This window comes from Homo sapiens, chromosome 16, assembly GCF_000001405.40.
Source record: "Homo sapiens chromosome 16, GRCh38.p14 Primary Assembly".
In the NCBI taxonomy this organism is placed as follows: domain Eukaryota; kingdom Metazoa; phylum Chordata; class Mammalia; order Primates; family Hominidae; genus Homo; species Homo sapiens.
This window is the reverse complement of record NC_000016.10, coordinates 47385086-47399618: the sequence shown is the minus strand read 5'-3', so window position 1 is coordinate 47399618 and position 14533 is coordinate 47385086. Positions and strand designations below refer to the sequence as shown.

At 38.2% G+C, this 14533-nt stretch overlaps 1 protein-coding gene across 2 annotated transcripts in view, besides 1 other annotated feature; it reads left to right on the top strand.

Moving 5' to 3' along the window:
- Positions 1–14533, top strand: part of ITFG1 (integrin alpha FG-GAP repeat containing 1) — a 306856-nt gene that overhangs the window by 61628 nt on the left and 230695 nt on the right. The window lies entirely within an intron of this gene.
- Positions 12541–13041: an enhancer, noted in NCBI's record as "H3K27ac hESC enhancer chr16:47420489-47420989 (GRCh37/hg19 assembly coordinates)". NCBI's record gives its function as "activates a minimal SCP1, AML or CMV promoter by ChIP-STARR-seq in naive H9 embryonic stem cells {active_cell/tissue: H9 hESC(naive)}" and the evidence as "EXISTENCE:reporter gene assay evidence [ECO:0000049][PMID:30033119]".

Below are 14533 nucleotides of genomic sequence, written 5' to 3'. Positions count from 1 at the left end.
ACAGATGGGAAAGAATGTGAGCTCTCTGAACTTTTTTTTTTTTTTTGAGACGGAGTCTCGCTCTCTTGCCCAGGCTGGAGTGCAGCGGCGTGATCTCAGCTCACTGCAAGCTCTGCCTCCCGGGTTCACACCATTCTCCTGCCTCAGCCTCCTGAGTAGCTGGGACTACAGATGCCCGCCAACACGCCCGGCTAATTGTTTGTATTTTTAGTAGAGATGGGGTTTCACCGTGTTAGCCAGGATGGTCTCGATCTCCTGACCTTATGATCTGCCCGCCTTGGCCTCCCAAAGTGCTGGGATTACAGGCGTAAGCCACTGCACCCGGCCACTTTCTTAACTTTCTGTGATGGAAACCACTGTCTACAAAGGTGTGTCTCCTAAAGTGTTCTTTCTTAAAGAAGGAAAATAAAATGTAGCTCTCAGTAAAAATTCGCTTAGTAGAATCCCTCCATTTGCCTTTATCTCATTTTTGCTGAATTTATTATCTATTAGTAGATGATACCAGTTAATTTATTTACACTTTGGTAACATTTCTTATACTCTGCAATCTCTCTGAGTGCCTCTAGCCCTCTTTTTGGTCTGTAAAGAGAGGGAAGCACTTCTCAGAGCTGATTAAGGGTAAAGGGAGGGATGTACTCTTGTCTCCTTCCTGATAATAGAAGATTCTTCCCATTGTAGGATTTATCTAGCTTGATCCATGCATGTGGTTTGAAGAATTGGGCTTCTCTCTCTAATAAATGTTCCCTGAAATATTGTCTGGTGAATAAGCCTTCCCAAAGTATAAACAAAGTGCCATTGAAATAGTATTAGCTCTTTAACGTCACTAGGGCTTCATTTGGTACACTAGAGAAGGAATAAGTGACTTTTTGGTATTGTGATATCATTCTGAACAGAAAACCTGCCAGCAGATTAAATTCTTTACCTGACAGAAAAGATCTGATTCATTTTAGGACATTATTGCCTTGCTGACCTTGTTTGGTGTCTAATTTATTTTTAGAGAGAAGAACAGGAAAGGAAACTTAAATCAAGTTTAATATTTTCTTTTTAGAAACAGATTGCCTTGCTTTTTATAAATTACCATCATCACTGAAAGTAATGCTGACTGAAGTGATCCAAACAAACTTACAGAGCAGCTAAAAACTGGTACAAATCTAGAAGCTTAAGTTGTTAGTAATGATTTCCTTCTTGAAGAGGAGGGTTAAAATAATTGAAGAATAGCGAGCCATGTTTTAGCTTTAGTGAATATTTCCAAAATCTAGCAGTATGGTTTATGCTCACTTTTTCAGGAGGAATCCAGATACTTCTTGATTCAGGCCTTTTTTTTTGTTTTTCTGGCTCATGCTTCCTGCCACTTCTTTTCTTCATCAGCGCCTGTAAATAGACACTGGGGATGAAGACAGAGGAAATTAAAGTTTTTCATATTTTCTCTGTTGTTAGTAGTTGAAGGAGGTGTGTGACAGGCTGTTAAAAGCCATGCAGCTTTAAGTCTGAATTTCAAGCTAGCCTACTGTGTGTGTGGTCAAATGTGGGACATGATGTGTCTCATCCAGGGCTTGACTGCTCTAATAAGGAGATGAGCCATTAATAAAGCATTAAAGAATGATTAAATACATACTTGAGAGTGCTTGTAAACTGAAAAGATAAATTATTGATAAGGCTCCAAGTGTATATAAAGCCTCCCAACTCAGTGATATTGTAACATTGATTTGCTCAAAGACCTTCAGTGGCTCCTCTTCATCCTCTAAGGTAGAGGCTAGTTCCCGTGGCTGCCTGCAGTGTGATCCTCTCTTCCTTTCTAGCTTTCTCTCCTGGTCCCCTGCTGGCATCCTGTACTTAAGCCAAACTCTCCTTTTCCCAGTTTCCTCTAGTTTTCCTCATTGCCTTGCCTTTGCTGCTTCCTCTACCTCAGGGTTTCTTAATCGTGGTACTGTTGACACTTTGAGCAGGATCCTTGTTTGTTGTGGGGAGCTGCCATATGCATTGTAGGATGTTTAGTTTAGCACCATACCTGGCTTCTACTATCTGAATACCTGTAGCAACCAAAAATGTCTTTAGACATTGTCCAGTGTCTCCTAAAAGGCAAAATAGTCCCTGGTTGAGAATCATTGTTCTACCTAGTAAGCTGTCAACCTGTCTACATCATACTTGTCTTTCTTTCAAGCTTTATCTCAAATGCTATTTCCTCTAAGACTTGTTACTGTTTTCTTTTTGCTTACTTATCTTGTTAGCCACTCTGTTTCCCATGCCCAGTAAGAGTGACCATTCCCTTGAGCTCTGTCTCCTAACTTACCCATCCCTGACCCCTGTGCTCCCTCCCCAACACTTCCACTCTGTCTTCTGGAACACCAGCTCCACCATCAGCTCTCATCTGCATTCTTGCTTCTTTTCACAGAGTTCCTTTCACAGTTGTGGAAGCATCCCCCGTAGCTGCCTCTAATGGAATATGCCACATGCCTCATATTTTGGTGTTTAGAGATCAGCAACTTTAATCCCCAGTACCACTTTCAAATTATTTCTCCCCGAAATATCTGCAAATCTCCTCCTATGAGGTTTCTGCCACCCCGTTACACCAAACGTCATCTTCCTTTTTTTATTACTAGCATCTATCAATTTCTAGTTCACTGGAGACATAACATCTTCTGGACAGTTGTCTAACTCTTGTCATCATTTTAGGTGATTTCAGTGTCTGCAGAGATGAGTCAGCCCAGCACCAGGACCTCCCCACCTCAGCCAGCTCAGTTCGTTCCCTGCACCTTGTAGGTACCAGAAAATATACCATCTCCAAAACCACCAGTCACATAGCCACTCTCCTACTACCACCCCTTATCCCTCTAGGTTACATGCTTAAGTGCCCTCCCTGCAACGCTTTTTGGATCTCACTGGGGCCTGCAGTCCACTGATCCTGCTACTTTATATCCACTCATCCCTCATCCAGCCTCCATTTCCCTCCTATCCATGGTAAATTATTACTAACCCTCTCTTGCAAATATGCTTGGCTTCTCTCATTCTCTCACATTCAGACACCCTAATTCTAGGTAAACCCAGCCACCTTCCTTCTTTCTCTTTCTCTCTTTCACACACACACACACACACAAAATAATTATTAGGTTAGGAGACTGTCCTTGATCTCAGTCTCACATTCTAAATTCAAGTCCTCATTGTGTTCTTTCTCATAGTTCCTGAACTTTTTCTTCATTTCTTCATTTCTATCACAGTTTGAATTTGAAGTTCCCTTTCTCATCTTCATGTATGGCCGGTGTTCTGTCTTGCTCCTTTCTTCTGCTCTTCTCCTCCCCTCCCCCTCTACTTCCTCCCTCCCTTTTGCTCCCATTGGAGAAGCAAGCAATGCATACATTTTAGCAACAGCTAACAGCTGTACCTACTCCATTTTGGCATTTAACAATGTATTTGCTCTGAGTTGCAGCCGATTAACTTTTCTTCAGAGGCAAATGTAGACTTATCTCTCCTTCTCCTGACCACCCACCACACTATACTTAAGAAAATGGAAAGGGATAGGTGAGTGTTTTCTGCTACTATCACGTAGACTAAAGTAAAGGAATATCCTTTGGATAACAGATTAGATGTAAATTGGGTCTTCAGATATCTAAAACATTAGGCAGGCTTTTACCAAGAGACTGATATGACATTTAGCAGCAGATTGTGTTACATGGTTTGATATTTCTTCACACCTGCTTTCTGAATATAGATGTGTTCTTAATTTGATATCTAGGATTGCATACTGCTGACGATAGACATGAGGCAATAACATTGTATTTTCTGCATAAATGCATGAAAGTGTTTGAAACTTCACTTCTTTGACATTTTGAAATTGTATATTTTCATTATTAAGAGAACTCTAGAAGAGAAACTCCATTTAAAAACAGTATATGGTGCCGGTAAATACTCGGCTCTTACTATAAAGTGAGGGCACATTTTTTAAATAACAAAGTAGAATTACTGTTTTGCTTTTATTATACAGTGTTTCCCATCTATTAATTTATCCCCAACAGTGATCCTTAGTCACCTAAGGGGATTGCTTTCAATCATAATTGACAGATTTGTTCTGACATTTTAACTTTTACTAGTTACTTTTTTCATGGGTTTAGACTGTAATACAGATTTTTGAATCAAGCTTTTTGCCTAGGCATGAAACATGATTAAACAGTGTGACCTGCCAGATGTTTTAATCAGAATGACAATTTACGGCATCCCTAAGCAGCATATATTATGCCAATGAACATAAATGATCATGGTGTCTCATTGATATTTTCATTTTCTATTTTTATTTTTATCTAATTAGACTCTTTAATGAGCTGTATATATTGTGGAGCAAAATGTCATCATAATTTTAATATACAATATAATGAATATATGGTAAATAGCTTTAAATTGTTTGAATTCTTATCTAGTTAGGTTGAAGATGAACTAAGTCTGTTTCTATCCAATATAGTTAGTTTACTGTGAACTAAAGTCTATTAATACTAAATGTTCTAGACCACTGATGTGGTTAAGAAGGAAATAAAATTAGCATGCAACTTCAATAAGCCATGTAAAAATGTTTTGTCCAAGATGTTCACATTTCTCTTAGTAGAAATTGTCCATAATCATAATGGACTCTTCATATTGTATATTGGCATGAAAAACAAAAAATATCTAAAAAGTATTATTTAGCTGCACCACTCCTGTCTATCTCCCAATACCAACAGAACTAATTTTTTTCATAAATGGTCTTTTGAAAACTAGCTGAAGTCATGGAGTAACATGAAACTTTAGTTTTTAATTACTGGAGATCTCATTTCACCCTTTGCACTCAGGATCTCAGATACCATTCATAGGAATCAGGTGCTTATTACTTGAGAATGTTTTTGGTATACATTTTTAGAAATACAAGTTAATAAAATATGGGATAAAATGAACTGAAATTATGTAGGATGACCTTTTACAAATTGAGAGATTTATAGAGAGATGTGTCTTTTTTTTTTTCCATTTAGATTTTTGGAAGCACCTTAATTATAGTGCTTCTGGCGAGTAATGAAAACTTGGCCTTTCTGCTCTAGGAAAACATAGTCCACATGACACAGTACTTTTGACAGAATTCTCAAAGACAGTGTGTGTTTGTGTTTTTGTGGACTTTACCTAAAGATAAATAGAATTTTGTTTCTGAAAAAGCTTTAAAAAGTGAAAATAGTGTATGTCGATGAGTCATGAGCGATTCTCAAACAAATCTACCAGGAAGGCAAAGTGAGCTAAGGTTGAGGGTACTTTTTGACATCTTAGAATTGCTCAGCTGACTTAAAAGTATATAATATTTTCTCATCGATTTAGTAATTCTGATCAGTATGCTACATGTACACACACACACTTTTTCTTAAAAGCAGCACAGACTGTATCTTCCAGATGGCTTTGATAAATCTAGGTTTAAATTCTTCTGTCCTCTTGGGCCACAGTGAATCTTTTGTGAACATTAAAAATATAATGCAATGAGTTCTCTTACAAAAACATGTAGAATCTGTACTAAATAAGTTCTTAAATCCTGCTGCTCTGCAGTATATCTTTCCCATTGCTCACAAGCATTTCTAGCATTATCCTGAAATTAATGCTAATTCCAGCATACAGATCCAAGTATTTTAAAAAGTTGAGTTATCCTTTAGGATGAGTCCTAACCTATTCTGTTGACCAAATTTTAATTCACATAAAGAGACTTAAAACATATGTTTTAAATGACACTGATATGTTAGTGTGTTATGTTTACCTATAGGCAACCCCTTAATCTCCAAAACATGTAATAGCCAAATGTTTGATGAAGTCTATTATAATTACATGGTCTTGTATTTAGTGACTTAACTTTGTCACTGTAGAAAAACCAAAAAAAATTTCTTTTTTTTTTTTAGACAGAGTTTTGCTCTGTTGCCCAGGCTGGAGTGCAATGGGGTGATCATGGCTCACTGCAACCTCCACCTCCTGAGTTCAAGTGATTCTTATGCCTCAGCCTCCCTAGTAGCTGGAACTACAAGTTCTTGCCACCACGCCCAGCTAATTTTTATATTTTTAGTAGAGACGATGTTTTGCCAAGTTGGCCAGTCTGGTTTCAAACTCCTGGCCTCAAGTGATTCTCCCACCTCGGCCTCCCAAAGTGCTGGGATTACAGGCATGAGTCACCACACTCGGCTGCCACTGCTCATTCTTGAAGGATCTTTCCAATCTACCAAGGACCTTCTCCTTAACACCTAGGAGTTCAATACCAGTATAGCCCCTTGGATAGTGTATGGTGCACTGCCTCATAGCATCGCACTGCTAGTTATCTAATTATGCTAAAGGAATACAGGCTCAGGCACCCTCGAGTACAGTGTAGTCAGAAAAGGAGCAGACACCTTAAGGGGTATTGTTGGCTCTTGTTAGAGGGCCAGGAAACTCTGGGGACCATGTCACCTTCCCTATCTCTTCCTAAGCATCTAAGTTCTAGTTGCCCTAAAATGGCAGTGCTACCTCTTTTCTAGCTCTGCATCTCTTAATATTTGTTTCTCCTCCCTCTACTAGCTGGTCAAATTTATCTGTCTTTCTCCATTTAGAATTCTGGTCCAACAAATAGTTATTATCCATCTTTGGACATAGCTTCTCATGCTTGGCCTCTTCTTTAGTTACCTGCCAGTTGTGGAGGGGTGGCCTTGGATTAAGACACCTGTGAGCTAGTCAGTACTTTTCTGATCAAAAACCTGTGGCTGGGTGATTTTTCTATTACTTACATTTAGGTTGTTAAATATTTTGTCCCAGAGGGCTCTGTAAATTTTGTGAGACCAGTGTCAGATATTGTTCCTTACTGTACATGAGAGCACCTCAAAGAAGCTAAGATTTATTAAGCCCCTTACAACAGAGCATTGTGTTAGACAGTCTCCATACATTATTTCATTTCACCCTTTTCCGATTCATGCGTGAAATCAACTTACTATAAATGGTGATATTACACCCACTTCATTGATAAATTAATTAAGAAGTAGAGAAAACAAAGGCCCATAAGTCACATAGCTAATGACTGGCACAGCTGACTCTGATTCCCAAACCTGTGTTCTTTGCAGTCTATACCATAATGTGTAAAACTCAAGTCCTTACAATAGATCACAGGGTTCTGCACAGCCTGATGCCTCACATTTCAGACCTGATCTCCTCCTCTCCTGCTCTATTTCCCTGTCCCAGCCACACAGACCTCCATGGCCTGTGTTCTTGAGACACACTGTCACCTCCAGCCTTTACACGGCTGAGGCCCAGCAGGACGCTCTTCCCCCAGATATCCACAGGGCTCACTTCCTCATCTCCTTCACATCTATTTGTTTTGTGGTTTTTGTGGGCGTTCGTCGTTTTGAGGGTTTTTTGTAGAGACAGAGTCTCTTTATGTTGCCTGGTGCTGATCTCAAACTCCTGGGCTCAAACGATCCTCCCTCCTCAGCTTCCCAAAGCGCTGGGATTACAGGCATTAGCCACCGCACCCAGCCTCCTTCAGATCTTTACTCAATATCACTTTGTAAGTTTGCTTTCATTAAATTCCAAACACCCCTCCCACATGGACACTTCTTATCTTTATTTTTCTCTTTAGTGTGACCTATTTTACTTACTTATATGTAAAAATAAAGGAGCAAAAGTTTCCGCCAAGAAATACTCTTGTATTTCCAGTTAGAACAGTACTTGGCATATATTAAGCACCCAATAAATATTCCTTGAAAAATGGACGAAGGGATAGGTGTATATGTCTATGCATATATGTCCCAATAATGAAATAATTCCTAGGATATTAATGCATCAAAGGTAATATAACTGAATTCTGATTCCCATATGAGGGTGTCAGAGTGGGCAGAAAATAATTTAATAACCAAATCCTTCAGTAATCTAACAAGATGCATGCACATATATATTTCTAATATTTATCCTGACTTTCAAAAAGGATCTTCAGAAGCCTTTCACATAGGTCACATAAGCATAACAGAATTATACTTAGTGTTTTTATTACTGTTTCTGAAAGAATTTGAAAGAACTTTAAACACTATATATGCTGCAAAATATGGACAAAAAATTTAAAACGTCTCAGAGATGATCTGAAAGATCCCAAGAGTTGTTAGGCCCAGGGCATTAAATACGACCTAAACATTTAAGCAACATTAAAAATTAGTGCACTAAATTTTACTCTGAGTAAATTGGTAGCTAAGACAAAAAAGGAAAGTTATTTGAATGTCTCATAGAAGAAAGTACCCACATTCATCTACAGAGATACGTTTACTTGGAACTTCAATTCTGTGAAAATATAGGTGTCTTTATATAGACTCTCTTCAACTGTAGGATTATAAAACATTCAGAAACTTTGCTCAAATGTACACTGTGTATAAGTGCCTTGTATAGTAGTTGAGGGCATAATATTAAATTATAACTAAGTCAACATATTTCCCTGAGTAACCTGATCTGAAGTTCTCTGCCATGTCCCTTTCCCACCTTTGTGCCTCTGCTTGTGGGTTCTCCGTGCACCTGTATGTGTCCAGATAGTCCCTGTGCTTCAAAGCCTGATGAAACTTTCTTAATGCCCCCCAGCTACTAAGATTCTCTACAGGCTCGGGATTCCCATGGACTTTATTTGTCTCTTCCTAAATGATATTTTTCACTTCAACTTCATATAAAAATTATATAAAATTGAATTACAAGTATTTGAAATAGTTGTCTAATCACTCAAACTAGATTTTTCTTTAAGTATAATGTATTATATGCAGTTATATTCATTAAATATTTGTTAAGAGAGCAAATGAGCCTATTTCAGTATTGGATTTTTAAAGTAATACCTTATACAGTTCAGGCAAAATATTTCTGTTAATAAGCATTATTGGCCGGGCACGGTCACTCACTCCTGTAATCCCAGCACTTTGAGAGGCCGAGGTGGGCGGATCACCTGAGGTGAGGAGTTTGAGACCAGCCTGGCCAACATGGTGAAACCCCATCTCTACTAAAAATAAAAAAATTAGCCGGGCGTGGTGGCGGGTGCCCTGTAATCCCAGCTACTTGGGAGGCTGAGGCAAGAGAATCGCTTGAACCTGGGAGATGGAGGTTGCAGTGAACCGAGATCGCACCACTGCACTCCAGCCTGGGCGACAGAGTAAGACTCTATCTCAATAAATAAATAAATAATAATAAACAAGAATTATTATATCTGGTTTTATTTCATTCCGAAGTTATGTCAGTTTATGTAAGGTTATTTGCAGCATTCATCTGTTTTTTCCCCTTGATTTCACATACAGAACTCATTACCAAATAAAGAGCAAAGACTTAAAAACCTCACAACAAACTTTCAGCTAATGATGCTTCCTTAGGAATTCTCTGTCACAATGACTGGTGATGTCAGCCCATGCCATGCCTATGTCAGATTCAGTCCTGATCCTCAGTGATTACCACCTTTATCTAAGTGTGTATAACTGTCCATCTGGTGAACTGAATGGATGAGCTCCAGTCTTAACAGACTGAAAAGGAATGCTTCTCCATACACATCTCATGCTGCTTTTCTTTCCACGTGGAAGTTCATGGACCTGAAAATGGCTTATTTTAAGCTTTGTACCCAAACTAAAATCTTTGCATTCGATAGGCATTTTTTGTCCAGTCTGACAAGCTCTGTCTTTTGGTGAACTTGTTTAATTCACTGACAAGTTATTAATGTTCTTATTGCAACAGTTGAGTTTACATCTGCCTTCTGTTTACTATGCCTCAGTCCTTTGGTCCTCTACTCCTACGTTACTGCTTTCTTTTGCTTTCAGTGAATATTTTCTATTGTAACATCTTAATTCCTTTAGTAACTTTTTTAACTTTTTATTTTGATTAGTGGTTGCTATAGGGCTTACTACATATATCTTATCAGAATCTACTTCAGATATGTACTAACTTAATTGCAGTGAGACATGGAAATGTCACTTGTTTATAGCTCTATTCTCTTTCCCCCTTATTGTAATACATATTACATCTATATATGTTACAAACCCATCATACTTTGTTATAATTATTACTTTATATAATTTTATGTCTCTTAAGCTTAGAGAAGACAGTAGACAGATATTATTTACAATGTTTATTATATTAACCTTCTTAGTTACTGTTTCTGGTTCTCTTCTTTATTCCTGTGAATTCAAGTTACCATCTGGTGTCATTTTCTTGGTCCATTGCAGTTTTGCTCCCACTCACCTTCTTGGTGTTGCTGGCAAATATATTACATTTCTATATATTATGGGCCTAGTGATACAATTATATACATATTGTTTTATTACAGTTGCATTTTTAAATCAGTTAAGAAAGGAGAAGGAATATACATTTAAACTGTCTTTTTTAACTACATAATTCCTTTACTAATTGCACCATTTTTTCCTATGGATTTGAATTACTATCAGGGGTCATTTGCTTTCATCCTGAGCAACTTTAGTATTTTTTATAAGGTTGTTGCGGGACAGTCAGACCGAAAAAGGTTCAGGAGAGTTTATTAAATTAAGGTGATCACCGGCTCAGCCAGACATATGTCCAGAAAGTCTGAGCCCTGAAAAAGGGCTTTTCCTACTTTTAAACATCTTAAGGTGGGAGCTAACATGAGGCGGGAAGCGAGTTACAGAAGCAAGGAACAAAGGCAGCATTACAACATTCCTTATATCTTGAGGGAAACATGTCTTGCAACCTAAACTTACCAGTCTTGTGACCCTGCAGCCGTGCAGGAACTTCCTGGGCCTGTAATAAACTTTGAGGAATATGGAGTTGGGGAGTACAGATAAGGTACACTGTCCACAGAGAGAGGACAGGCTGTTAATATTCTCTTTTAACTTGAGTGTAAGACGGGGTCACACTTTGCAGCAACTTTAAGAGGATTTTAAAATTTCTGTTACTACTACTATTAGGTTATAGTTGATTTCATTAATTCCTTCTTCAAGGTGAGTCTGCTAGCAGTGAATTATCTCCGTTTTTCATTATCTAGAAATGTCTTTATTTCCTCTTAAATTTTAAAATTAGTTTTCCTGAATGTAGGACTTTTGGTTGACAGGAGCTTTTTTCTTCCGTCATTTGGAGTATGTCATCCCACTGCCTTCTGGTCTTCATTGTTTCTGATGAGAAGTCACCCATTAAACTTATTGGGATTCTCTTCTATGTGATGAATAGTTTTTCCCTTGCTTCTTTCAAAAATTTTCTTTTTCTTTGGTTTTCAGCATTTTTGCTATGATTTATCTATCTGGGTCTCGATCTCTTTGCATTTATTCTGCATCACATTTATTGAGCTTCTTAGATGTGAATATTAATGTTTTTCATCAAATTTGGGAAGGTTTTAGCCATTATTTCTTCAAATTTTTCTTTGTCTTCTCTCTCTCTCACTTCTACTAGAGAACTTCCATTACGTATATCTTGGTGTACTTAATTGTGCCCCACATTTCTTTGAGATTCTTTTCATTTTTTCCTTATCCTTTTTTTCTCTCTGTTTTTCAGGCTGCTTAATCTGTCATGAAGTTTGCTAATTCTTCTGGCAGTTCAAAGCTAACGTTGAGCCCCTCAAGTGAATTTTTTATTTCAGTATATTTACTTTCAGTTCCATAATTTCCATTTGGTTTTTTATCATTTCTGTCTATGGATATTTTATATTTGATAAGGCACACTTCACTTCTTTAAGCATAATTTCCTTTTTTTTTTTTAACATATTTGTAGTGGCTGCTTTAAAGTTTTTGTCTGTGAAATTTACATCTGGTCCCTCTCACAGCACTGTCTGTTGCCAGGTTTTTGGTTTTCTGTTTTCTTGTATATGGATTATACTTTCCTGTTTCTTTATGGGTCTCATAATTTTTTATTGGACATTTAGGTAATTGTTATGGTCATTCCACAGAAAAAGTATGCACAGTCTTCCCTCCGAAATTTGGCTCAAAAGCCAAGAAGGTATGAGAAGGTTTATCAATCACATAAAGAGGCTTTGTGGGAACCGCAAGGCAGGCCTTCCAAACTGGTCTGAAAATGATTTGAGAGATCAAGGACAGGAGACTGCCTTGGAAGGTTATTTGTGTGCTGTTTGGAGGTGGGGCCTGGGTGAGGTTCCTATGCATGAGTAGGGCTTGAGGGGCATGAACCTCCCACCAGCACCAAAGGAGGCTGGCTTTTTTACCAGCTTGCCCAGATATAGGGCACAAGAGGAAAAGGGAGGGGTAAGATTTAAAAGCTGTCAACAGACAAATATTAAAAAATGGAGCCAGATTCTTTTCCACAATAATATACTGTAGCAACTTTGGATACTGCCCTCCACTCCCCAAAGCTTGTTATTGTTGTTTGCTTGCTTATTTGTTTAGTGACTGGCTAGACTATTTCAATAAAGATTATTTTCCCTGTAGTGTGAAGCCTTTGATGTTGCTCCTCAGAGGCTACAGCTTTGGAGACGTACCTTGTCATCCTGGTATGACAGTGGTTTTAGCAGGGCTCTCTTTGTCTCCTTCTGGATCACACTCAGCTGTTAGGCTTCAGTAATTGCCAGCTGATTGCTCTATTTTTGACAATACCTTGGGTCATAAATTGCTCCATGGTCTGATATAATTAAGTTTGGATTCCTTTGCAGGTTTGTTCTGTAGGTTGGTGTTGTAGGTTTGTCCAGACTTCAGGAAGGTTATCTGTAGATCTTCATTCCCTAGTTCTCTCTGTTAAGCCCTGGTCTGTGATTTAGTTTGATTCTTTCATGAGGCTGACTGCCTTCTCTCTATTGCTTTCCATCAAACCTCCATTTGTTTTGAATATACCCTTAGGCTTGAACTTCCCCACACTCTGTTTTAAATATTAGGGGACAGCTTTGTAGCTGCCTGTTACAGCCTGACGCTTCTCCTGGGCAGAATCCCTGAGCATGGCTCCAGAGGTGAGAGTGAGGACAGTGACACACTTTCCCCCTGAGAGGCATCCCTGCTTTAGGATCAGAACACTGCATTGGAGTGGTAGCTTCTGATCTTTGCTTCCCTTTCCGGCATTGAACCAAAGGCCTACAAAAGGGGTGGTGTGTGAGTCGCTAGGCCCCTGCCATTCTTAGTGTGCTGCACGAGAGATGGATCCTCCACCTTTGTGAGTAGGGGCTGGATTGAAGAAGGGGTGTCCCCAGCCTCTTGACCTCACACTCTTGGAATTTAGCCTCTACAGCATATAGCAGGAGGAGATGAGAAATGGTGGCCTGCCCCGCAAGAAGTTACCACAGTCCTTGACTAGGAGCTGGGTGGAGGGGGAGCCCTGTGTTTTTGGCTGCAGCTTCCTGAAGCAGAGTTTCCTTCACACTGAGCTAGGAGGAGGAGAGAAAGAGCAGGTAGTAGTTCAAAAGTTACAGGCTCTTGCTCTTCTTGTCTGATTTCAGTATATTTTCTTGAATAAATGTTTCTTCGTTTGTTATATGCTCTCAGAACAATTTCCAGAGACTGTAAATTTTTTTTTAATAATTTCCCCCAGTTATGCTTGTTTTACTGGAGAGCAGGTCTGTAGGGATCACACTGTCATTCCAGAAGGGAATTTTTACAATTGGTAGGCATTTGCTGACCTAAAACTCATCAGTCCTAATGCCGGATAACAGATGTTTTTTTGTTTAAGTCAATGGCCTTGAATTTTGCCCACTGTTTTGGCTGTGGCTTTTTTTAGGATGAAGGTTTTATCATGTATGCTCCAAAGGAATATTCTTCCATGTTATAGATTAGTCTGTAAGTTAAATATGATCAATTTACAAAACAGCATTAGAACTGTCCTGTCTAGCTTAACAGCCTTTCCTTGTTTTTAGTGCAGTGTTTTAAGTCTTCAGTTTTAAAAGCTCAAAGTTTTGGTTCTCTTGTAAGGCCCTTTGACATTAAAAAAGAAAGGTTGAAGTCTTCTCATTGAAGTGAGCACTCAGCATGACCTATAACTAGCATTCTGCTATTACAGCAGGCAGAGAAAACTGAGGAAAAAGAAGGTTCATTAGAAGTTCTTAGTCACTGTAAGGTTTACTCTTTGCTGCATTAGAATGATTGAAGATAGGCTTTCAGAGTTAACATTGTTTTTAAAATTATTTCATGTAGCTTTTGAAAGGAAGCCTTAATATTTTTAATATACATTTTATTTTCATGTTTAATCACTATTATACTTGTTTCTGCTTCAAGAGAAATTTTTTGTAGTTTCACATATTAAGTTTAGGGACTACTTTAATCAAATGCCATATGCTGGGGAAATTATTTACTTCTCAGAATTACCAACTTCAGATTGTGTACCACTGGAATGCATATAAGAGCAATTTTTATAATTGTTAAGTGTATTTAGTGTGTATTTTACATTAATAAACTTTGTTTAATTTTTTTGAACTAATTTTATTAGAGGCCATGAGTGTGCCTCATTATTTTAATAAATTACTTTAACCTGAAGTTTCTTAATAATCTGATTATTTGATTTTAACTTATTTCAAACATACAGACCTTTATAAACACAATGTCACGTGTTGGTAATGTTAGCATTTCACTAATGTGAATATAATAACTTCTTAAAACGAATTGCACAGTTTCTGACC